This window comes from Homo sapiens, chromosome 11, assembly GCF_000001405.40.
Source record: "Homo sapiens chromosome 11, GRCh38.p14 Primary Assembly".
NCBI classification, from domain to species: Eukaryota; Metazoa; Chordata; class Mammalia; order Primates; family Hominidae; genus Homo; species Homo sapiens.
In genome coordinates, this window is record NC_000011.10 from 63,678,882 (window position 1) to 63,705,368 (window position 26,487).

General features: G+C 43.5%; 1 protein-coding gene across 13 annotated transcripts in view, besides 1 other annotated feature; it reads left to right on the forward strand.

Moving 5' to 3' along the window:
* Positions 1-2,568: 2,568 nt before the first annotated feature.
* The window catches only part of RTN3 (reticulon 3), a 78,442-nt gene continuing 54,523 nt past the window's right edge, over positions 2,569-26,487 (forward strand). For 7 of the 13 annotated variants that reach the window (NR_049750.2, NR_049751.2, NM_201428.3 and 4 more), the window contains exon 1: positions 2,619-2,897. Coding sequence is in view for 11 of the 13 variants with exons in the window: in NM_201428.3 (NP_958831.1) it covers positions 2,756-2,897 (142 nt within the window). In the remaining 2 variants the exon portion in view is untranslated. Of the gene's footprint in view, positions 2,898-25,969; positions 26,027-26,487 lie in introns of all 13 variants that reach the window. The other 6 variants (XM_011544730.3, NM_201429.2, XM_011544731.3 and 3 more) reach the window with 2 other exon arrangements.
* Positions 2,792-2,911: a silencer, noted in NCBI's record as "silent region_3441". NCBI's record gives its function as "represses an Ori minimal core promoter by ATAC-STARR-seq in GM12878 lymphoblastoid cells {active_cell/tissue: GM12878}" and the evidence as "EXISTENCE:reporter gene assay evidence [ECO:0000049][PMID:35858748]".

Genomic DNA, 26,487 nt, shown 5'->3' on the forward strand with positions numbered 1-26,487 from the left:
ACTAGCTTGTAAGCTCATTGAAGACAAGACTAACATATTTTGGAGGTCTCTTCAAAGTTCCCAGAATTGTGTTATACACACAGCACATGATCAATACACATTCATAGAACTGGCCGGGCACAGTGGCTCACGCCTATAATCCCAGGTGTGGGAAACTGAGGCAGGAGGATCACCCGAGGTCAGGAGTTCAAGACCACCCTGGCCAACATGGTGAAACCCCGCCTCTACTAAAAATACAAAAATTAGCCGGACATGGAGGCATGTGCCTGTAATCCCAGCTACTCAGGAGGCTGAACCAGAACTGCTTGAACCCGGGAGGCGGAGGTTGCAGTGAGCCAAGATGGCACTACTGCACTCCAGCCTGGGCAATAGAGCAAGACTCCATCTCAAAAAAAAAAATGTCTGAAGGGTCTGAAAAGACCAGTAAGACCACGTGCATATCTTGCTTTTTAACTTCTCTGCTGCTACATATTAGGAAAATGGACTTCCTTCCAGCTGGAGTCTCCAGATTGTAGCAAGTGCTGTCAGAGTTAGCTACCAGCATCATTTATTTCCTTATCTAGCACTTAATAATGTAGATTTTTGTTTGTTTGTTTTGTTTTAAGGAGCAGAGCGTTTAATAGACAAGAAAGAAGGAAGGAAGAAGAAAACAGCTCCCCTAATAATGCGATTTTTAAAAAAACATATGCACGTATCAGAATGGGTAGATAACTGGCTTGGTTATCCGATCTGCTATTATTTCCCTTTGCCATCCAAGAGACAGTTTGCTGCATTATCAGCTGATGCAGTAAGTGCCAGGGTAAGGTATTAGCCACAAAGTTATTTTGGGAAATATTTTTCTATGCCTTTTTCAGAGCATTGCAAAGGCCAGGAGTCATCCTCCCACCCCCTGGGGCTTTACCTGACCTTAAAAACTCAAGGGCAGATGTAGTACACAGCTTGTTCTAGAAGATTTCCACTGGTCAGATCGCCTTTCCCCTCAGTGGCAGCTTGGCTGACCACCTCCCGCTTCATGAGGCTGCATCTTTACAGGATCTGCTGATCCTGCAATTGTACTTTGGGTCATCGATTGCTGCTTTAGCAGTAACAGTCGACAGCCTTGATTTTTATTATTTCCAGGATACAGTCCTCCTTTTTTTTTTTTTATTTGACGGAGATTTGCTCTTTCACCCAAGCTGGAGTGCAATGGTGAGATCTCTGCTCACTGCAACCTCTGCCTCCCGAGTTCAAGCAATTCTCCTGCCTCAGCCTCCCGAGTAGTTGGGATTACAGGCGCCCGCCACTACCCCCAGCTAATTTTTGTATTTTTAGTAGAGACAGGGTTTCACCACATTGGCCAGGCTGTTCTTGAACTCCTGACATCAGATGATCCACCTGCCTCGGCCTCCCAAAGTGCTGGGATTACAGGTGTGAGCCACCGCGCCCAGCCAACAGTCCTCCTTTAACAAAGACTATGCACCTTTCCAATATTTTGACCAGATGTAGGGAGAAGGCTTCGAATTTGGCAATCCAGCCCAGGAAAAGCAAAAAATGAACAAAATCCAATATAGGCTAGAAATCTGGTTTTAAATACATGTTCTGCTAAGGACCTCTTTTAGTCTATGAATAAAATTCAATTATGTGTATTTTGTGCCTTATTCTGATTTTTTTTACTTTTTTTTTTTTTTTTAAGGCAGGAAGGTTCTCGCTGTGTGGCCCAGGCTGGACTCCAACTCCTGGGCTCAAGTGATCCTCCCTTCTCTGCCGTAGCAGAGACTACGGGCCTCTGCCACTGACTGCGGCCTTATTCTGAATTTTTAATATCTAATTTTATCATCCCCCATAATCACAGCCAACATTTTCTTATCTCCTGGCTCTTCTTCATCAGCTCAGCATTTTTTTTCCCTCTCTAAAATATGTCGTCTCTATCTGACAGTCTATTCGGAGGAAAAGAGAACCTTAAGACCCAAGGTGGACCCTTCTCTGGCAACAGTAACGAGATAAGAATACGAAGCAGGTTCTGCGACTGCATTGCAATGTGATTGGAATGAGTAATCGTTTTTCATTCTGTATAGCATCTTTCTCCACCTACCAAATGGGGGGCCGTGCCATCTCTGCCTCTCGGTGAGGAGATATTACGACACAGCCAGTGAGATTCACAAAGCACCTTGCAGAGTGGGCCTACTCTACACTCTGGTTTTCAGTTTTTATTGGAGTCACAGGTGGGAATGCATCAAACAAAAGATATAGGCTCTGGAATGTACGGGAAAGAGAGTTTCCATAATGGAAGCCCAAAGACATTTCTACCGTTAAAATACATAATCTGCCGACCCTAAAACATTCACATAAAGAGGCAGGAGGGAATACTATCCCGCAGCTCCACGATTAGCCGCAGTCGTGGGCGGGGATTGGGGCTTGGATACGCCTTTTGCGTCTGGTCCCCAAGGGACGCTCCCCAACCCTCGGCGCGCGAGGCGCCGCGTGAGGCCGGCTTTGCCCCTCCTTCCCTGCAAGAGCGCAGAGGAGCGGTTCTTGCGCCTGCGCCCTGCGCCGCTGCGCGCTTTGGCACCCGCTTGGGGCCCTTTGTGCGCATGCGCGCTCGCGCTCCCGCCCTCTAGCTGCGCTCGGCTGAGTCAGTCAGTCTGTCGGAGTCTGTCCTCGGAGCAGGCGGAGTAAAGGGACTTGAGCGAGCCAGTTGCCGGATTATTCTATTTCCCCTCCCTCTCTCCCGCCCCGTATCTCTTTTCACCCTTCTCCCACCCTCGCTCGCGTAGCCATGGCGGAGCCGTCGGCGGCCACTCAGTCCCATTCCATCTCCTCGTCGTCCTTCGGAGCCGAGCCGTCCGCGCCCGGCGGCGGCGGGAGCCCAGGAGCCTGCCCCGCCCTGGGGACGAAGAGCTGCAGCTCCTCCTGTGCGGGTAAGGCGCGCGGGGAGCCCCCGCCCTGGGAAAGAGGGCGAGCGGGAGCCTGGGGGCTGGGGGGATTAGGAGGCGAGGCGGGAGGAGGACGAATTACCCTCGACTACTGACGGCTTCAGCCCCCCGGGGACGAGCGTTTGGAAAATGGGCAAAGGGGAAGGGGAACGTAAGGTTGTGCAGGCGGTGAGGAAATAGCGGGGTGTGAGGAAAACAGGTTGGGGGCGGGGAGATAGTCCAGTGGGCGTTAACGCCAAGACTGGGCAGGTGGGGAAAAATACCAGCTCGTGGGATAAAATGGAGAGTTGCTCGATGCATATGGTGAACCTGGGTGATTTAGTGAGGATTAGAGAGATTGAAAGGATACGGGCAGGTGGGTGGTGGGAGAAACAATTTGTTACTATTTTTGAGGGGATGGTGGTGAAAGGGTTGCATTGCAGGTTTGCAGACAGGTGTTGACATAATCAAGCATTCATGATAGTCCTCCAAAATATTTTTGGCTGCCCATGGGAAGGATGAGGAAGTTTAATGGAAGCATTGTAGCCTGTTTTTTTTGTTTGTTTGTTTTGTTTTTACTGTTTTCGGCTAGACTCCATGAATGCCGGATTTTTCTGAGGCTCCGAGGTAGAAGGAGGCGTGATGAGAATAGCTCAGGGAAGATTTGGGAGGGAGCTGCTAATGGTCCAAGATGGATCCGTGGCTGCATCTGCAACAGCCTGCTCTTCCCTGGCGCTGCGTGGGGGTGGGGACACGCAATCAGTCGCTTATATTCTAGAAAATAGAGTCATGCTAAGCTATCAACATGTTTTGATTTCATGTTTTCTGTGGGCTACTATTGATCGAAGTATAACAAAGGGGGGTGTTTATTGCAGAAAGGGGGAGGGGGAGAACATTCAGACAAAGCAAGGGCTGGTTGAGTCCCCTTCTCCCATCTCTGTGAAAGACTAAGAACGAAGCTGCAGACCTCCTTTAGTTTGCATTGTATACGCGTCTGCCTGCTGGTAAGAGCTGCCTGGCAAGCTCCCCTTATGCAGAAATCTGCAGTGCAGATGCCTTCTTAAGGGGGGAAAAAAAAACCACCATGGGCAGGTGGTAGTTCTCAAAGGAACGGAGTCTTTGAAGGGAAAAAAAATGCCTTTTGTCAAAGGCAGGGCCGTAAATTCGGGAGAGTAGAGATAATTTTGCTCTCTATTTAGTTATGTTAAAGGATTTTGATCATTTTTTTTTAATGCTTCGTTGTCTCCTTTGGCAGAATCTTGGGTTCTAAAGAAAAAATTTCTGATCTTAACCTTAAATGTATTATTCTCTACGTGTTTTTCTAGCAGTGAATTTTCACCTGTCTGAGAGCTTTGGAGCCCTGTTGGATTTTTTCAGTGTGGTTATGGCCATTTCAGTAGAAACAGGCAGTATCAGGAAGCTTTTGCAGATAAAAGAATGAGGCAGCAAATTTAGAACCCTGTCTCCTTTAAACCACCAGCCTTTTCTCCAAATTTTTGTGTTCTGGGCTAAGGTCCAGATGAACAGCGACTTCCTTATAACTTAGCAACTTGATCTTTTTGCTTTAATCACTTGTCATTGCTTACTGTTTGGTAGGCCCTTTTGTACTTACCTTTTGGGTTTTCTTGATTTTTCATTTTTGATTCAGACCTAAGTTTTAGAAATTTGGCTCTGTAAGCTCAAGATAAGACAGATGTTAAGTGTTGAAGAGTCATTTTAGTTAGCAGATTTGAAAATTTAGTCCTAGTTTGTTTATAACTAAATGGTGAAATCATTTGAGATTCAACTTTTTCATTCTTTTAATGCACTTATGGAAGAACTGGCCTAGTAGGCCAATGAAATAAGAGTATTTTGTTCACAGACACACAGGCATACCACAACCTAATTGGCACCTAAATTGGCAATACGAATTTAATGACATAACATATTTCTGTTTGGCTTACCTTTTTTTATGTCATCTACCCTTGTCACAATTTTTATCTATTTATTGTGTATTTTTTGCACTTCTCTTTATAATAGTGGAAAAGGTGCTGAAATTATGTGTTTTGTCGAAAGTAGTAGAATTATATCGTGAAGTGCTGTTCCAAGTACATGAGTTTGCATTACATTTTCCGAATAATATTAAATGCCGCGGTTTCCACTCGTTATTTCTTTCTCTTTTCTTTTCTTTCTTTTTTTTTTTTTTTTTTTTTTTTTTTTTAGACAAGGTCTTGCTCTGTCACAGACTGGAGTGCAGTGGAGCCATCTTGGCTCACTGCAACCTCCATCTCCGGGGTTCAAATGATTCTCATGCTTCAGCCACCCGAGTAGCTGGAATTACAGGCGTGTGCCACCACGCGTGGTTAATTTTCTTTTGGTTTTTTTTTTTTTTTTTTTTTTTTTGGTTTTTTTTTTGAGACGGAGTCTCGCTTTGTCGCCCAGGCTGGAGTGCAGTGGTGCGATCTCAGCTCACTGCAACCTCCATCTCCCAGGTTCATGCCATTCTCCTGCCTCAGCTTCCCAGTAGCTGGGACTACAGGTGCCCACCACCATGCCCGGCTAATTTTTTGTATTTTTAGTAGAAACAGGGTTTCACAGTGTTAGCCAGGATGGTCTTGATCTCCTGACCTCGTGATCCGCCCACCTCGGCCTCCCAAAATGCTGGGAATACAGGCATGAGCCACCACACACGGCCCACACCTGGTTAATTTTTATATCTTTGGTAGAGATGGGGTTTTGCCATGTTGGCCAGGCTGGTCTCAAACTCCTGGCCTCATGTGATCTGCCCTCCTCGGCCTCCCAAAGTGCTGGGATTACAGATGGGAGCCACTGTGACCAGCTTTACCCATTATTTCTTAGTAAAATTTTATTACAGAATTTGTATTTCTTAGATGTGCTGTAGACACGTATCACTATTAGCACTTAAAACAGTGATATATAGTAGTACTTGGTAAGTATTTGTTGAATAAATTATCAAATTTACGAGCTAGAAAGGCACACTTGAGAAATAAACTAAAGAGAAACTCTTTTTGGAGTCTCGCTCTGTAGCCCAGGCTGGAGTGCAGTGGTGTGATCTTGGCTCACTGCAACCTCTGTCTCCTGGGCTCAAACCATTCTCCCACCTTAGCCTCCTGAGTAGGTGGGATTACAGACATGCACCACCACGCCCAGATAATTTTTGTACTTTTACTAGATATGGGGTTTTGCCATGTTGGCCAGGCTGGTCTTGAACTCCTGACCTCAAGTGATCCGCCCACCTCGGCCTCCCAAGGTGTTGGGATTACAGGCATGAGCCACTGAGCCCAGCCAAGAGACTCTTATCTTAAATGCTTATCCATTGCAAATGTGCATTCATATTGTCTAAAAAGCACTAATACAGTTTTGGTGGGCCCAATGCAAGATCCTCATTTGTTGGGTCACTACTTGAACATAAAAGTTTACCTTAAGATACTGCAGTGTGGGGCCAGGCACGCTTGCTCACTCCTGTAATCCCAACACTTTGGGAGGCTGAGGTGGTTGGATCACCTGAGGTCAGGAGTTAGAGACCAGCCTGAACAACATGGTGGAACCCTGTCTCTACTAAAAAATACAAAAATTAGCCGGGCACAGTGACGGGCACCTGTAGTCTCAGCTACTCGGGAGGCTGAGACAGGAAAATCACTTGAACCCAGGAGGCGGGAGTTGCAGTGAGCTGAGATCACACCATGGCACTCCAGCCTAGGCGACACAGCAAGACTCCATCTCAAAAAAAAAAAAAAGTTACTGCAATGTGTTGTAATCATTTTTATTGCAGAAGCCTTTCCTCCTTGCTGGATGTTTTTCTTCATGTCACAAAGGAAGTGTCTCAGGCTTTTGCACCATGAAAATAAGATGAAGTTTGTTATTCCAAAATTTAACTTATTTAAAATGTAGATGCTAAAAAATTACCTTAATTGTTTAAAAAAAAAATCTGTACGTATTGCTGTCATCCTCCAGCTTCATGTTCTTTCACCAAGCTCCTCTTGGTTTTGGAGACTTGTCTTGATTTTAGTTAAAGAAAAATAAGTGATTGGTTGGTGTCCTACAGAAAACAATTTTGTCTTGACTGACCTGTCCAGTAATTAATTTTAGAAGTATTAGTTACTATATACAGGTCAAGAATGAGTGATGGCACTCTGTACTTTAGTGCCTTAGGTTCTAATGCAGCCAGCAATGTAGTATGCTTAGAGATGGGGATCAGGGGTCAGGATGGCTTCCCAGATTTCTGCCTTTGAAGGAAACTGAAGATATCAGAGGCAAAAATTTGAGGTTGAGGTAAAAGAGACTGAAATATTCAGTGTTCATTTCAGAGCAAGAGTTGCCTTTATTAGGCCTCAAGTATAGAGACACGTCTATCATCTGAACTTTAAAAGTACTTTAATAGTTTACTGATGACACGATGTTGAAATTCTGTAACTTGGCCGGGCACGGTGGCTCACGCCTGTAATCCTAGCACTTTGGGAGGCCGAGGCAGGCGGATCACGAGGTCAGGAGATCGAGATCATCCTGGCTAACATGGTGAAACCCTGTCTCTACTAAAAATACAAAAAATTAGCCGGGCGTGGTGGCGGGGCGCCTGTAGTCCCAGCTACTCGGGAGGCTGAGGCAGGAGAATGGCGTGAACCCAGGAGGCGGAGCTTGCAGTGAGCCTAGATTGCACCACTGCACTCCGGCCTGGGGGACAGAGCGAGACTCCGTCTCAAAAAAAAAAAAAAAAAAAAGAACAAATTCTATACTTGCTAGAGACTGCTTTTTATTGTTGTTATGAAAGTTGGCTGAGTCTGGTGGCTCACACCTGTAATCCCAGCACTTTGGGAGGCTGAGGTGGGTGGCTTGCTTGAGCTCACGAGTTTGAGACCAGCCTGGACAATAGTGGTGAAACCCCATCTCTACAAAAAGACAAAAAAGCAAGAATTAGCTGAGCATGGTGATGTGCGCCTGTGGTCCCAGCCACTTAGGAGACTGAGGTAGGAGGATGGCTTGAGCTGGGGGCAGAGGTTGCAGTGAGCTGAGATTGTGCCATTGCACTCCAGCCTGGGTGACTGAGCCAGAACTTGTCTTAAAAAAAAGAAAAGAAAAGGAAAAAAGAAAATCATGATGCCAAAATAAAACTACATTTTATATGTTTGTTCATGGAAATTAGCTCAAAGCAAAAACAGCTTGGGCAATTTTTTGAAAAAGGTTTTGCTTTAAATATTTCTTTCCTCACTCATGAAACTTAGTTGTTCTGTGTACTTTTTATGGCTTCATTTTCACACTTTGTTCTACCATATTAATCAAATGTGAATATGTAATTTGTGTTTTGAGTTAACCCTTAAATAAAAAGGAATGTGGCCCCCGTCCAACACTGACATCATCTGAGTGTTACATTCGTGTCAGATTATCAGTGGCAGTGTAATGTGTTAAAACACAGACTTGAGCTCCAGGAATGCCTAGATTTCAATCCTGGCCCTGTCTCTTAATAATTATGTGATCTTGTGCAAGTCCTGAGCCTCAGTTTCCTTAACTTGAAAATTGGGATAATAGTATCTATCTTGGAGTTGGTATGAAAATTAAACACAATTTGGCTGGGCACGGTGGCCCACGCCTGTAATCACAGCACTTTGGGAGGCCAAGGCGGGTGGATCATCTGAGGTCAAGAGTTCGAGACCAGCCTGGCCAACATGGTGAAACCCTGCCTCTATTAAAGATACAAAAAATTAGCTGGGTGTAATCCTGTAATCCCAGCTACTCAGGAGGCTGAGGCAGGAGAATCACTTGAACCCAGGAGGTGGAGGTTGCAGTGAGCCAAGATAGCGCCATTGCACTCCAGCCTGAGCAACAGGGTGAGACTCCATCTAAAAAAAAAAAAAAAGTGAACACATTTATAGGGCTTAACACAGTGTCTTGCCTGTAGTAAATAACTGTACCATTAATGTGAAGAAATGAAATATAGATCAACAATGTGACCTAGACACATTTGCTTTGTACCCTTAAATCCTGACCTTTATTAAATAACAATACCTAATGTTTGACATCCATTTGTAGGTTACAAACTACTTGCACATATTAATAGATACCACATAGCAGTTCAAGTACAAATGAGAAATCTGTCTTCCTCACAATCAAAGACTATTGTTATGCCTTTTTTCCCTTTCCACATGTGAGTCAGTTGTTTCAGTTTGTGGCCCTTCACATTAATGTCATAAAGCTGCCACCCGCTTCCACTGAGGTGGTCTGTTAAAGAGGTAGAGGGAGGAGTCAAGATGTTTCCCAGAAGGCTTGGCATGAATCAATATGCTTAAATACTTATGCAGATTCTGACTAATAAATGTTGTTATGATACATTAGGAAACCCCTTTCAGCACAGAGGCAAGCATACAGGAGACAGCAAGAATGGTCATGTCAATATGGCCTGCAAATGCCTGCTGACTTGGATTGTTTTTATTCTCCAAGAATAAGAAGTGTGTTTTGCTTTTTTTTTTTTTTTTTTGAGACGGAGTCTCGCTCTGTCGCCCAGGCGGGAGTGCAGTGGTGCGATCTCAGCTCACTGCAACCTCCATCTCCCAGGTTCATGCCATTCTCCTGCCTCAGCTTCCCAGTAGCTGGGACTACAGGTGCCCACCACCACGCCTGGCTAATTTTTTGTGTTTTTAGTAGAGACAGGGTTTCACCATGTTAGCCAGGATGGTCTTGATCTCCTGACCTCATGATCCGCCAGCCTTGGCTTCCCAAAGTGCTGGGATTACAGGCGTGAGCCACCACGCCCGGCCAAGAAGTTTTTTTTTAATGCTGTTTTTGTTTATTGTCAAATTCACAAGTAATGGAACCACTCTGATCAAATTAAACAACCAATCTACATACATTTAGTAGGTGCACCCTTACCCTAAATTGTCATTTCTAAGGGGTTGTTCATTAAGTGGCTGGTAAGAACCTCAGTGTTTTTATTCTTGGTGTTTTAAAGATGGGCTGAAAATAAAAACCAATATTACTGCTTTTATCAAATTATCCTGTGAGGAAATAATATATTTATCCTGATATAGGAGTTACCTGTCTAGTCCTGTGCATGTTTCAAGCCTTGTAAAATGAAGTTTGGTCATGAAGGAATTGGTGACGTCTGGTTGAAGGGAAAAGGGAAAGTTGAGCTTTCCAATTTTGTTTGAGTCAAGAGTATATTTTGCAGAAAGACACTTCTCTTTACCCATAATCCTAGAATTTACCATTTTTGTAATTCTGAACAGAATTACAAAGGCTTCATTAAGTAAGTAGGTTTTCTAATATAAATGTGCATATTTGTTGTGTGCACTTAGCTTATAGTTTGTGTTAACTTTATTGTTGATGATGAATTTAGCCTCCTAAAGTATACAAACTTGTGAAAAATTCATCAATTTTGTAGTATAACTTTTTCTCTTAATTTAGCTAATACTCTTTGTATTGTTCTAATTTTGGTATATGTGCTGCTGAAGTAAGCACTCATAGTAAAACTTTTTAGACAAAAATTAGCAGGTCGATATTTTGTTCTTATAATTGACTTATTCAGAAGTTGCCCAGAAAACTGACTTAACCTTCTATTCTGTTCATTTATGACAGCTACTAGTTGTAGAGTTATTTTGGATCATAGGGTATGGTGTTGATGTTTTGAAAGAAGTGTGTGTGTTAAATAAGTTTAGCTGTAATCAGTATTGCTTGTGATTGCATCATTGAAGTCTTCTGGGCATCTGTGAGTTTTGTAAGACATGTTACTCTGTGATATTGCAACCTCAGAGAGAATCTCTTTAAATACTGTAACGGGGTTTGCATTTCCATTTTACGTATGGGAGAAGATTATCAGCAAGTGGCCTGCTCTTGTGATTTTTTTTTTTTATTTCAAATAACTATTCTTACCTGTTTTCTCCAATCAACTGATTTATTATCTCCTATAACCATATCATTGTAACCTAACCAGAGAAGACAGTGAGCTTATCAGCAAGTGGCCCACTCTTGTGATTTTTGATTTTTTTTTTTTTATTTCAAAGAACTATTTTTTTGAGACAGAATCCCCCTCTGTTGCTCAGGCTGGAGTGCAGTGGTGGGATCTCTGCTCACTGCAACCTCCGCCCCCCGGGTTCAAGCGATTCTCCTGCCTCAGCCCCCTGAGTAGGTGGGATTGCAGGCTTGTGCCACCATGCCCAGCTAATTTTTGTATTTTTAGTAGAGATGGGGTTTCACCATGTTGGTCAGGCTGGTCCCGAACTCCTGACCTCAAGTGAACTGCCCCCGCCTCGGCCTCCCACAGTGCTGGGATTACAGATGTGAGCCACCACACCCAGTCTCAAAGAACTATTCTTACCTGTTTTCTCCAATCAACTGATTTATTATCTCCTGTAACCATATCATCATAACTTAACCAGAGGGAACGGTGAGCTTTTTGACCTGTTCCTCATTGGTAGCTCGCCCTTCAAGATATATGGAAGGACATTCTGGAAAACCTTTTGTTATGAAAATTGTGTCCTGTTATTTGAACATATTTCAGTGGAGGGCATTGTCTTTATTTTACGTATGAGATAGAAGTACTTGATTTTCACGATATCTTACATTTGTGTACTGCTTTATGATTTAAGTTGTGCCCATATGTTACCTTAATTCAACAACTGAGCATACATGAAGGCTCTTTGCCAGGTGCTGTGGAAGACAGAAAGGTAAATAAAATATAGATCATTCCTCTAGAGGCCATATTCTATAGAGGAAAGACTTGTATTATGTTTATCTGTGAGGTAGACAGGTAGCGATATAACCCCCTTCTTACAGATGGGGACTCAGGCACAGAGAGTTTAATGCCCACGCTTTAAGATTTGAAGCAACATGTAGTAAAAGTGGCTCAGTTACCCTTTTGAATTCAGTGATCAGTTTAATTTAAAAGTCTTAATTTCTGGCTCCACGGTTCTTAAGCCAGGTGCCTTTTTATTTCACTGCTCTACAGAAACTTTCTAGTCAAGTTCACCAGATATTTTCCACATTGTTAAATTCAGTGGTCACTTCATCCTCCTCTTAACATGCTTTCACAACAGCTTTTGACATAATTGATTATTCTCTCCTTGAAATGCTTTTTTAATTTGTCTTCTGTGACACCACATACTCACTCTCACTGGCTTTTCATCCTCTGTCTCCATAAAATTCACCATTTTAAGGTGGGTTTTAGTGTATGCACAAGGTTGTACAGCTATCTCCACTATCTAATTCCAGAACATTTTTATTACCCCAAAGAGAAACCCCATATCTGTTAGCAGTAATTCACCGTTCTTCCCTCCCCTCAATTCTCTGACAACTATTAATCTGCTTTCTGACTCTGTGGATTTCCTTATTCTTGAGATTTAATATTGCTAATTCTTTTTTTTTTTTTTTTTTTTTTTTGAGATGGAGTCTCACTCTGTCACCCAGGGTGGAGTGCAGTGGCACGATCTCTGCTCACTGCACCATCCGCCTCCTGGATTCAAGCGATTCTCCTGCTTCAGCCTCCCAAGTAGCTGGGATTATAGGCATGTGCCACCATGCCCAGCTAATTTTTGTATTTTTAGTAGAGGCAGGGTTTCACCATGTTGGTCAGGCTGGTCTTGAACTCCTGACCTCAGGAGATCCACCCTCCTTGGCCTCCTAAAATGCTGGGATTACAGGTGTGAGCTACTGCGTCCGACCTAATTATTTTTATTTTGATAGAGACGAGGTCTCACTATGTTGCCTAGGCTGGTATTGAACTCCTGGGCTCAAGCGATCCTCCTGCCTTAGCCTCTCAAAGTGCTGGGATTATAGGCATGAGCCACAGTGCCTGTCCCAATCTTTCCTTTTAAGTTCGTTCTTCTCACAGTCTTCTCAATCTCAATAAATGGCCATTCTGTTCTTTCCTTCTTTTGCTCAAATCAAAAACCTTGGAGTTATCCTTGATTCCTTTCTGTCCCTCATAGAAGCCATCAGCAAATGCTCTTGATTCTACCTTCAAAAAGATATCCAAAGTCTGACCAATTCTGTCAATCTCCATTGCTACCACCCTGGTCCAGGCTAGCTCTCTTGGGTTATTGTAGATGCCGCCTATCTGGTCTCCCTGCTTTCTCCTTTGCCTCTCTTCAGTCCATTTTCCACACAGCAGCTGGTATAAGCCTGTGAAAATGCAAGTTGGATCATGTCACTTATGGGCCAAGTGCTACAGTGGCTTCCTGTTACACTCCGTAAATGCTGATATCCTCAGAAGACTTATTAATAAATACCCTGTAATATCTGGCCTCAACCTCCCCCTTTCTCACCTGGCTTCAACCATACTGGCCTCTTTGTCTCACTCTGTTGCCCAGGCTGGAGTGCAGTGGCGCGATCTTGGCTCACTTCAAACTCTGCCTCCCAGGTTCAAGCAATCCTCTCACCTCAGCCTCCCAAGTAGCTGGTATTACAGGTGCGCACCTCCATGCCTGGCTGATTTTTGTATTGTTAGTAGAGACAGGATTTCACCATGTTGGTCAGACTGGTTTTGAACTCCTGACCTCAAGTCGTCCATCAACCTCGGCCTCCAAAAGTGCTGGGATTACAGGCATGAGCCACTGTGCCCAGGTTTCCTTGTTCTTTACACCAGAAATAACCCTCTACCTCGGGGTTTTATTTGCTGTTCACTCTGCCTAGAATGCTCTTCTCTCATTGCAGTAGACTCAATGTTTATGTCCCCACCCCTGCAACCCGGCCAAATCATATGTTAAAACCTAACCCCCTGGCCGGGCGCGGTGGCTCATGCCTGTAATCCCAGCACTTTGGGAGGCTGAGGCAGACAGATCACGAGGTCAGGAGATGGAGACCATCCTGGCTAACATGGTGAAACCCTGTCTCTACTAAAAATACAAAAAAAAATTAGCTGGGCGTGGTGGCATGCGCCTGTAGTTCCAGCTACTCGGGAGACTGAGGCAGGAGAATCGCTTGAACCTGGGAGGCGGAGGTTGCAATAAGCCGAGATCATGCCACTGCACTTCAGCCTGGGTGACAGAGCGAGACTCCGTCTCAAAAAAAAAAAAACACCTTCAGAAGGAAGGAATGCTTTTATAGACCACTTTGGTTTTCTTTTTTGCATGTCATGTGGCAGTTTTAAGTTATTAAAATAAGTACTTTTTAATGGGAACAACTTGACCAAATTTGTCACAATTTGTCACAGAATTTTGAGACCTATTAAAAAAGTTCAATGAGAAAGAAAAAAAGAGAGATGGGGTCTCACCATATTGCCCATGCTGGTCTTGACTGAATTCCTGAGTGCAAGAGATCCTCCTTCCTTGGCTTCTCGATGTGCTGGGATTACAGGCATAAGCCACCATGCCCAGCTTCCTTATTGGTTTTGTCCAGCAACTAAAACAAGCCCTTGGCTCATAAGAGGTGTTCAATAAATATTTATGGGAAGAATGAGTGGAGAAACTCTTCCCAGAAAAACATGCATATTAACAAAGTATTGTGGCCAGATGCAGTGGCTCACGCCTGTAATCCCAGCACTTTGGGAGGCCGAGGCGAGCGGATCACCTGAGGTCAGGAGTTCGAGACCAGCCTGACCAACATGGAGAAACGCCATCTCTACTAAAAATACAAAATTAGCTGGGCATGGTGGCACATGCCTGTAATCCCAGCTACTTGGGAAGGCTGAGGCAGGAGAATCACTTGAACCTGGGAGGTCGAGGTTGTGGTGAGCCGAGATCGCACCATTGTACTCCAGCCTGGGCAACAAGAGCAAAACTCCATCTCAAAAAAAAAAAGTATTGCATAGTTTTCACAGGGTTCATGAACTGCTGTCAAATTCATTCATAAACTTTAGGTTAAGAACATTTGGTTTTTGAAAGTCAAATTGTAAACTTTGTTACATGCTTATAATTCGTAATTTCTATAAGACCTCTATGGAAATGGATGTATCCATTTAAGTGCTGAGGAGAGAGTTTTCCTGTAAGCCCATAAAACTGTATCTGTAATAGAAATATGTTTAAGGTTAGCCTCTTTTATTTCTTCTGGACTGTAGGTATTTTCTACTAACAACTTTAATCCAGAAAAACATCTTTTCATAACCACTTGAATGCCACATTCTGGCATATTAGAAAGAGACTCTGGCCGGGCACAGTGGCTCATGCCTGTAATCTCAGCACTTTGGGAGGCCAAGATGGGAGGATTGCTTGAGCCCAGGAGTTTGAAACCAGCCTGCACAACATAATGAAACCCCATCTCTACAAAAATTAAAAATAATCTGGGTGTGGTGGTATATGCCTGTAGTCCCAGCTCCTTAGGAGGCTGAGGTGGGAGTATCACTTGGGCCCTCAAGGTCGAGGCTGCAGTGATTGCACTACCACTGCACTCCATCCTGGGCAACAGAAGACAGAAGACCCTGTCTCAAAAAAAAGAAGGCTGGGGTATTAAGATATATTTGTAACCAGTTTATTAATTAATTATGGTTTTTTTTTTTTCTGAAATGGAATTTTGTTCTTGTTGCCCAGGCTGGAGTGCAATGGCGTGATCTCGGCTCACTGCAACCTCCGCCTCCCGGGTTCAAGCAATTCTCCTGCCTCAGCCTCCCAAGTAGCTGGGATTACAGGCATGCGCCACCACGTCCGGCTAATTTTGTATTTTTAGTAGAGACGGGGTTTCTCCATGTTGGTCAGGCTGCTCTTGAACTCCTGACCTCAGGTGATCTTCCTGCTTTGGCCTCCCAAAGTGCTGGGATTACAGGTGTGAGCCACTGCGCCTGGCCTTTTAATTTACTTTTAAGACAAGGCATGGCTCTGTCACCCAGTCTGGAGTGCAGTGGCATGATATCGGCTCACTACAACGTCCATGTCCTGGGCTCAAGCCGTCCTCCCACCTCAGCCTCCGGAGTAGCTAGGACTGTAGGCGTGGCTATTTTTTGTATTTTTCTAGAGACGAGGTTTCACCATGTTGCCCAGGCTGATCTTGACCTCATAAGCTCAAGTGATCCTCCCACCTCAGCCTCCCAACGTGCTGGGATCACACGAGTGAGCCAGCGCGCCCAACCTTTAACCAATTTCATATCTACATAGTCCATTTTGTTTCTGTCAGGCTTTCTAATTTTCTTTTGCAACAAGAGTTCTGCTTTGTTCTTCCTCTTAGATTGCATATGCATTTACTCTAATAAATGGTGCAAAGAAAGCTTTCCAGCTCTTTTTAGTGATGTAACAGAAGAGTGGGCATCTTGGAAATTAGCACTGTTTTGACTTATATGAGAGGGAACTGCTGTCTTAGTAACTACTACATTAATAAGACAAATGTCCAGTTACTAGTTACTACTCAGTCTAGTTTTGAAATAACAAGCTAAATCTAAAAATCTCTTAGAGTTTGGGTTTCAGCAAACATTTATGAAGCTCCTGTAATATTCAAACCTCCATATTCTGTGATTTCTGCTATATGCTGGTCAATCTGAAAGATACGAAGATATGTAAGAGGGCTTTAACCCTCAGGTGCTTCCAATCAGTTTGTAATTATTTTCCAACAATAAATAAATTGAATTTATTTCATTAGATATTTTGAGAACTAAGATATTAATAATTTTTTTCTTTTTTTTCCCCCTGAAATTCCTGAGCTTCAACTAGTTGGTCTGTTTTTATAGTAGTTATGTTAGCTATAAATGAATAAATAAAAATCAGCCTGCCAGTTTATGTAGATTCTCCCCTCGAGGAGGTGGAGCTTAACTCCTCCACCACTTAGGGGTGGATGATGAGCTTAATGACTTGTTTCCACAGAGTACAGTGTGGAAGGGTGGGGAGAAGTACTGCTTCCTCCAACCAGGTGGAGAATCCTGGCAAGCACTACCTCAGCCAGGGATCAGGTTAACATCATCAGTTGATAAGTCATGTTGATAGTCTGTACTCTTGATATGCTGTGATGAGCATGGCCCTTGGTATTCTTCCCGAAAAGCCATCACTCCAGTCTAACCATGAGAAAAACATCTGACAAATTCAAATTGAGGGACATTCTGTAAAATATCTGACCAGAGTCTTATTAAAACTGTCAAGAGAAGTCTGAGAAGCTGACAGTCCAGAAAAGGCTAAGGAGACATGATGACAAAATGTGATATGGTATCCTGGATAGGATCTTGGGAAGAGAAAAGGGGCGTTAGGGAAAAATTAAAGGGGATCAAGAAAGAAGGACAGAGTGAGACCTTACTTCTCTAAAAAATAATAAATAGTAAGTAAAAATTACCTTTGTAATATTCTTTTTTATTAGAATACGATGAACATCTCTTAGTGTCAATAAATTCCCATCTACAACCCAGTTGTTAATGACTTATCCTATTGTTTGGATATATGAAACTTAAACGGTCTAATTATTAGACCTTTGTTAAGTTTCCTTTAAAAAAAAAAAAAAAACCTATTTTAAGGAATATTGTGATGAGGCCGGGCCTGGTGGCTCATGCCTGTAATCCTAGCACTTTGGGAGGCTTAGGCGGACAGATCTTGAGGTCAGGAGCAACATGGTGAAACCCCGTCTCTACTAAAAATAGAAAAATTAGCCAGACGTGATGGTGCGTACCTGTAATCCCAGCTACTCAGGAGGCTGAGGCAGGAGAATCACTTGAACCTGGGAGGTGGAGGTTGCAGTGAGCCGAGATCACACCACTGCACTCCAGCCTGGGCAACAAAACAAGACTCTGTCTCAAAAGGAAAAAAAAAGAATATTGTGATGAAGCCAGGTGCGGTGGCTCACGCCTGTAATCCCAGCACTTCGGGAGGCTAAGGTAGGAGGATGGCTTGAGCCCAGGAGTTCAAGACCAGCTTGGATAACATAGTGGGGCCCTGTCACTATTTTTTTTTTTTTTTTTTTGGAGACGGAGTCTTGCTCTGTTGCCCACGTTGGAGTACAGTGGTGCCATCTTGGCTCACTGCAACCTCCACCTCCCGGGTTCAAGCAATTCTCCTGCCTCAGCCTCCCGAGTAGCTGGGATTACAGGTGCCTGCCTCCACACCCAGCTAATTTTTGTATTTTTAGTAGAGACAGGGTTTCACCATGGTTGGCCAGGCTGGTCTCGAACTCCTGACCTCAGGTGATCCACCCTCCTTGGCCTCCCAAAGTGCTGGGATTACAGGCTTGAGCCACCACACCTGGCCCCTGTTGCTATTTTCTTTCTTTCTTTCTTTCTTTCTTTTTTTTTTTTTTTTTTTTTGAGATGGAGTCTTGCTCTGTCGCCCAGGCTGGAGTGCAGTGGCGTGATCTTGGCTCACGGCAAACTCCGCCTCCCGGGTTCACGCCATTCTCCTGCCTCAGCCTCCTGAGTAGCTGGGACTACAGACGCCTGCCACCATACCCGACTAATTTTTTGTATTTTTAGTAGAGATGGGGTTTCACCATGTTAGCCAAGGTGGTCTTGATCTCCTGACCTCGTGATCTGTCCGCCTCGGCCTCCCAAAGTGCTGGGATTACAGGCGTGAGCCATCGCGCCCGGCCCCGTTGCTATTTTAAGAAAATTTTAAAAATAAGAATATCGTGATGAATAATCTTATAGCCACATATTTGCACTGGTTATTTATTGGAATTAGATTTTCAGCAGGTCCACTTATGCTTTTTTTTTATTTTTATTTTTTTTTGAGATAGAGCCTCACTCTGTCGCCCAGGCTGGGGTGCAGTGGTTCCATCTCAGCTCACTGCAACCTCCGTGTCCCAGATTCAAGCAATTCTCCTGCCTCAGCCTCCCAAGTCAAGTAGCTGGGATATGTGCCACCACACCCAGCTCATTATTATTATTATTATTATTTTGAGACGAAGTTTCACTCTTATCCCCCAGGCTGGAGTGCAATGGTGCGATACTGGCTCACTGCAACCTCTGCCTCCTGGGTTCAAGCAGTTCTCCTACCTTGGCCTCCCGAGTAGCTGGGATTATGGGCACCTGCCACCACGCCTGGCTAATTTTTGTATTTTTAGTAGAGACAGGGTTTCACTATGTTGGCCAGGCTGTTCTTGAACTCCTTCCCTCAGGTGACCTGCCCGCCTTGGCCTCCCAAAGTGCTGGCATTACAGGCGAGAGCCACCGCGCCCGGCCCACCTGTGCTTTTTCAATCCCATATCTTCTAGCAATTTTGTGGGCTTTGTTCCAGAAAAAATTGTTTCTTTTTTATGTATTTTCAGACTTTTTTCTTCATTGGCTCCTTTCTGTCTTTCTGTAAATATACTTGTCATTTTCATTTCTAAAAAACTTTCCCTCAACGTTGCCTCTCCCTATAGCTGCTGCCCAGTTTTTAGTTCTTCCCTTTATCACCCGTATTTCCCATACTTTTTGTTTTCAGTGTTTTTTAAACTTACCTTCACTCCTCAGTCTTCAGTGTCTGTTCCCTCCCCCTCTACCACTCTCATTTTAGTCATCAATGCGAAATTAATTTCTGTGACCCTTTTCATAGTCTTTTTTTTTTTTTCTTTAAAACAGTGTCTCACTCTTGCCCAGGTGCCATGGCTCAATCTCAGCTCACTGCCACCTCCGCTTCCTGGGCTCAAGTGATCCTTTCAGCTCAGTCCCCCCAAGTAGCTGGGACTACAGGAGCAAGCCAGCATGCCTGGTTAATTTTTGTATTTTTTTGTAGAGATGGGATTTCACCATGTTGCCCAGGCTGGTCTCAAACTGCTGAGGTCAAGCCATCCACCTGCTTTGGCCTCCCAAAGTGCTGGGATTACAGGCATCAGCTACTGCGTCTGATTGTTTTTCATAGTCTTAATTTAGCCATTCAATGGCTTTGACTCTTAACCATTCTCTAAAGCATTCTCCAAATGGCACCATTTTTTCCTTTCTTGACTTCTTTCTGTTTTCTTCACTGGTCTTTCTTTCTTGATCCCCTTTAAATACACATATTTTAAAATTTCTCTTCATGCCATCTGGTAAGATCAAGTGGCCAATCTCAGCATACCTGGGAAACTTAACATGATCTAAGATCACTGAGGAACCATTGACTCCAGATACTGTCTTGTACATGAGGCAAGGCTGGGAGAGGTTGTTCCGACTGACTGCCAGCACCTGCTCCCGAGCTCCTACCACTGGCCCCTTTAAATATTGAGATACCTCAAGATTCTTTTGTAAAACTTCTGTATTTCTTCCTGGATGAAGGTATTCACTGCAGTGGTGTCAGTTCTCACCCAAATGTTAATTCCCAGATATTTATCTACAGCATTTACCTCTCTCCTGAGCCTGTCCCTATTACTGCACTGCCTGTTCAACAGTTGCCACTTATATATGCCTTAGGCAACTTTTTTATATTGAAAGTTAATAATATAAGGGATTCCTGGCCGGGCACAGTGGCTCACGCCTGTAATCCGAACACTTTGGGAGGCCAAGGTGGGCGGGTCACTTTAGGTCAGGAGTTTGAGACCAGCCTGCCAGCATGGTGAAACCCCACTAAAAATACAAAACCCCTACTAAAAATACAAAAATTAGCCGTGTGTGGTAGCATGCACCTGTAATCCCAGCTACTCAGCAGGCTGAGGCATGAGAATCACTTGAACCTGGGAGGCGGAGGTTGCAGTGAGCTGAAATCACACCACTGTACTCCAGCCTGGGCGGGCGACAGAGCTGAGACTCCTTCTCAAAAAAAAAAAAAAGAATTCCTTCTGTGTTCCCAACCATGGCATTTCATTTAGTCCCTCAGTGATCTTTTACTTCTCCAGTCTTTAACATCCAGGCAGATGGTCTCAAGACCTGTCTTCTCTCTTGTCAGCAGTCCTCTCATTCCCATCCTCACTGCCTTAGTGCGAGCCCTTATCTCTTGCCAAGATTATGCAGTAGCTTTTCAGTTCCGTCCATGCTCTACCCTGCTGCCAGAGTTCTTTCTAAAACACGTGATATTGTCACACCCTTACTTAAAAACCTTCAGTGATTCCTTATTACACAAAGGATATAATCCAGATTACATGGCATTTAAAGCCATTTGGAATCTGGCCAATTGTTCCTTCTCCCCAGAATGCCTTTCCCTTCCTTGTTCACCTCATGAACTTAAATCTTTAAAACCAAGCTTACCACCTCTTCTGAAACATTCTTAATTTACCATAGTGGCTGTCTCTGCTGCATTCCCACAACTCATACAGTTTTACTGGTGCATATTTGATTTTCAGCTACTTGTGGGCACTGTATTACCAGTACTAACACAGGTCCTGGACTTCGCTACTTAATGAAAATGGTTTCATTAATGGCATTTGAGGATTAAGATCATTCTGGGGTTCAGTTCCCTGTGACACAAATACAGAATATGAATACAATGTGGTTTTGTAAGTTAGAAACCTCATGGAATATTGTACCAGCCATTACCAGTTATCTGTGTTCTGCATCTGCATAACAATTTGCATGTTGAAATTTTCCATTAGGAGGGAGTGGTGTTAGGTGAAGGTGAAAAGGCAAACAGCTGGCATGCTCATAGGCTCTTCTTTGGCATTGGGCTTGAAGTATTTGGTTTTTCAGGTTTGTTGGGATTTAAACGCATCATTGGCAGAGATTTAATGTTGATAGTAAATGCATGTAGAAATGGATCCATCTGGAAACATAGAGATAGGAAAACATGATTCTTTTACTTTTTTTTTTTAAGGTAAGGTCTCACTCTGTTGCCCAGGCTGGAGTACAGTGGTGTGATCACGGTTCACTGCAGCCTCAGCTTCCTGGCCTCAAATAATCCTCTTACCTCAGCCTTCCAAGTAGCTGGGACTATAGGCTCATGCCACCACACCCAGCTAATTTTTTTTTTTTTTAATTTTTTGTGGAGACAGGATCTCACCATGTTGCCCAGGCTGGTCTTGAGCTCCTGGGCGCAAGCGGTCCACCTGCCTCAGCCTCCCAAAGTGTGGGGATTACAGGCGTGAGCCACCTCACCTGACCTGTTTCCCTGCCCCCATCCTTTTTATTTTTTTTTTTTTGAGATGGAGTCTCACTTTGTCACCCAGGCTGGAGTGCAGTGGCATGATCTCAGCTCACTGCAACTGCCCTCTCCTAGGCTCAAATGGTCCTTCCACCTCAGCCTCCTGAGAAGTAAAGGATTAATTGAAATGTTATTTTTTATTTGATCTTCTTCATTGGTCACTGTGTATCCTGATAAGAATTTTCAGGCCAGGCTTGGTGGCTCACACCTGTAATCCCAGCACTTTGGGAGGCTGAGGCGTGCGGATCACGAGGTCAGGACATCGAGACCATCCTGGCCAACATGGTGAAACCCTGTCTCTACTGAAATACAAAAAATTAGCCAGGTGTGGTGGTGCGCGCCTGTAGTCCCAGCTACTCGGGAGGCTGAGGCAGGAGAATCGCATGAACCCAGGAGGCAGAGGTTGCAGTGATCCGAGATTGCGCCACTGCCCTCCATCCTGGTGACAGAGCGAGACTCCTTCTCAAAAAAAAAAAAAAAGAATTTTCAGCTTTTAGTGCTCATATATAATTTGTTTCTTACAGTACTTCTCTTCCAAATTTTTATACTTTCTAAACCCTTGCTGTTTGAAGTATTGATATCATTTTGTTGTTTCTGTTTTTTTCCTGATATCAAATGTACAGCTCTTTTCCAGAATGTCATATAGTTGGACTGGGCCAGTATGTTGCCCTTTCATACTGGTTTCTTTCACAGACCAATAAGCATTTAAGGTTCCTTCATGTCTTTCTGTGTCTTGATAGCTCATTCTAGAATATCTTTTAACATCTCAATTTCTAAATTTAATCAGCTAAAAAGTCCCATATTTTATTTAAATCATCTACATAAAGTATAATGAAACTCAGGGTATGAGCCAGAGAGTAAAATTTCTCTCTATTTGTGAACAGTTCTACAGGCTTTATAGGGAGCAAAGTGCCGGAGGCTCCTCAGTTTCTGGGGAGGCTTCAGGAAGCTTCCAATCATGCAGAAGACACAGGGGGCACAGGCATGTCACATGGCAAAAACAGGAGCAAGAGAGCTACCCTTGATTAAAGTATCACTTAGACCTGGGTGTGGTGGCTCATGCTTGTAATCGCAGCACTTTGGGAGGCTGAGTGGGAGGACTGCTTGAGCCCAGGAGTTCAAGACCAGCCTAAGCAACATGGCGACACCTGTCTCCAGAAAAAAATAAAAAATTATCTGGGCGTAGTGGTGCACACCTGTAGTCAGTGCTACTCGGGAGGCTGAGGCAGGAAGATCACTTGAGCCCAGGAGGTCAAGGATGCAGTAAGCTGTGATCATGTCAGTGCACTGGGCAGCAGAGTGAAACTTTGTCTCAAAAATAAATAAATAAGGAAAGGACAATTTTTTAATTTGTAGGAGTAGATGTGGTACTTCATTTTCATATAATTAAAAAGCAGCTTTATATTTGAAACTAAATAGTTTTCATGAATTAGTACTTATAGCTATAGCCCTGTCCTTTAAAGCAATCTTCTAGCTTAAATATATTTCTAATATTTGTGAAAATATTTTTATAATTGCAAGATAAAAGGGAGTTAATATGTAAAGTTCAGTATTTAGGGACAATTTTGGAGGGTTTTGTTTTTCACATGGCTTTTTTATTCTTTTTTCATCATTTTTATTGAAAAAGTCATTTTATGTTCTTAGTGTGTGGTTTTTTTGTGTTTTTGGTTTTGGTTTTTTTTGTTTTTTTGTTTTTTTGTTTTTTTTTTGAGACAGAGTCTCGCCCTGTCGCCCAGGCTGGAGTGCAATGGCGTGATCTCAGCTCACTGTAACCTCTGCCACCCGGGTTCAAGTGATTCTCCTGCCTCAGCCTTCGGAGTAGCTGGGATTACAGGCACGTGCCACCACGCCTGGCTAATTTTTTGTATCTTTAGTAGAGACAGAGTTTCACCATGTTGGCCAGGCTGGTCTTGAACTCCTGACCTCATGATCCATCTGCCTCCACCTCCCAAAGTGCTGGGATTACAGGCATGAGCCACTGCGCCCGGCCGTCCCTTTGTTACTTAACAAATGGGAGCACACTGCTTTTTAAGCACACTGCACTTTGTTTTTGTTTTTTTGTTTTTTTGTTTTTTTTTTTGAGACGGAGTCTTGCTCTGTTGCCCAGGCTGGAGTGCAATGGCGTGATCTCGGCTCACTGCAAACTCCGCCTCCTGGGTTCACGCCATTCTCCTGCCTCAGCTTCCTGAGTAGCTGGGACTACAGGTGCCCGCCACCACGCCCAGCTAATTTTTTGTATTTTTAGTAGAGACGGGGTTTCACCGTGTTAGCCAGGATGGTCTCAACCTCCTGACCTCGTGATCTGCCTGCCTCGGCCTCCCAAAGTGCTGGGATTACAGGTGTGAGCCACTGCGCCTGGCCTGCACTTTGCTTTTTGAGTTTAATTCGTAGATGGACTATGTCTACGTATACACTTAGCCTACCTTATCTCAGGTTCTACATCTGTGGATTCAACCAATTGTGGACCAAAAATATTTTTTTAAAAAACAACAATAAAAAAAAACACAATTTTTAAAAACAATACAGTGTAACAACTATTTACATAGCATTTACGTTGTATTAGGTGTCTAAAGAATACTTAAAGTATAAGGGATGATGTGTGTAGGTTATATGCAAATACTATGCCATTTTATACACAGGACTTGAGCATCTTCAGATTTTGGTGGTGGGGGGTGGTGGTTTTAGAACCAATCCCCCTCAGATACCAAGGTATAGCTGTACCTCATTCTTTTTCATGGCAGCAAGTGTTTCATAGTTTGCATGTAACTTTAAAAAAAAATAACTTTAGGGGCCGTGCTAGTCTTCTGTGTATCCCTCCAGTTTTAGTATATGTGTTGCCAAAGCAAGTGATAGGTGTAACTTTAGAGTATTCCTAATATTTATAACCAGAGCTTTTATGAATATCTTCATACACATATTTTTTTTCTTTTTTTTTTTTTTGAGACGTCTCACTCTGTCTCCCAGGCTGGAGTGCAGTGGCGCGATCTCGGCTCACTGCAAGCTCCACCTCCCAGGTTCACGCCATTCTCCTGCCTCAGCCTCCCGAGTAGCTGGGACTACAGGCGCCCGCCACCACGCCTGGCTAATTTTTTGTATTTTTCATAGAGACGGGGTTTCACCGTGTTAGCCAGGATGGTCTTGATCTCCTGACCTCGTGATCCGCCTGCCTCAGCCTCCCAAAGTGCTGGGATTACAGGCATGAGCCACCACGCCTGGCAACACATATCTTTGTACATGTATGCAAATATGTCCATAGTATATATTCTTAGAAGTGTAACTGTAGAGTTAGTATTGTGCAGGGGGACTGGGAGGAGAATATGTGCATTTTAAATTTTGATACATGTTGCTGAATTAGAGGAGTATAATTTTATTTAATTAATTAATTTATTTTTTTTTTGAGAAGGAGTCTCACTCTATTGCCCAGGCTGGAGTGCAGTGGCACAATCTTGGCTCACTGCAAACTCTGCCTCCTGGGTTCAAGTGATTCTCCTGCCTCAGCTTCTTGAGTAGCTGGGATTACAGGCGTGCACTGCCACGCCTGGCTAATTTTTGTATTTTTAGTAGAGACGGGGTTTCACCATGTTGGCCAGGCTGGTTTCGAACTCCTGACCTCAGGTGATCCACCTGCCTCAGCTTCCCAAAGTGCTGGTATTACAGATGTGAGCCACCATGCCCAGCCTAGAGGAGTATAATTTTAGAAGATAGATTTCTCATGTAGTCCTGTCTTCCCCATGGATTAATTGTGATTTTTAAAAAAATATTTAGGGTCAACTTTGCATATTTGCCAATTAGATATTTTCAAATGCTTATATTAGTGACTTACCTCCTCAAAATGCATCCAGGAATGGTTAAAAGCAAATATTAATTAGTATTCAGATACTTATTTTCCCCTTCCCACACAGAGTAGCAGAGCAGCAGCATCTGTTCTTGAGGTTGTGCTTAATGTAAAATGCTAGGGGTTCCTCTTTTCTTTTTTTGAAGGTGAGAATGTTTGACTAAAAAAAAAAAAATGAATGGATTAACTTTTAGAAATGCATCTTGAAAATAAAATAAGGTTTTGCTACCAGGTGAGTGAAAACAATAATTGGAAATAAAGATTTGAGTTTTCCTCCTTGTTAAACCCAATGAAATTATGATGCTTGGCTCTTCCTCCCCATCAAAAAGAAAGTTAAAGTTAAAATTCCTGTGTGAGGTTGTCATATTCTCATGCTGTATATTTTCTTTCAGATTCCTTTGTTTCTTCCTCTTCCTCTCAGCCTGTATCTCTATTTTCGACCTCACAAGGCAAGTCTGTAATTTTTTTGTGTGCATTGGTAAAAGAAAAATGTTGAGAAAGAGGCTGTAACTGGGGATACGAGGCACAAGTCTTCTATTGCCCCAAATCCCCTAAAATAAAAACTAATTACAAGCTGATTCTTTCTATTTAGCAGTTTCCAGTGGGTTTCGTGTAATGGTTAATAAAGTAAAATGAGGCTGGGTGGACCCTGTAACATAGCATAAACTTCAGGAGTAGTTTTGAGTATTTCTTTAAAATTAAAAACTTGCCCACCAGAATTTGGAGCAGATAGAATTGTGGCTCAGAGGCCAGGTGCAGTTGCTCACACCTGTAATCTCAGCACTTTGGGAGGCAAAGGCGGGCAGATCACTTGAACTCATGAGTTTGAGACCAGTCTGGGCAACATGGTGAAACCCTGTGTCTACAGAAAATATCCGGGCATAGGTGGTGCATGCCTGTAGTCCCAGCT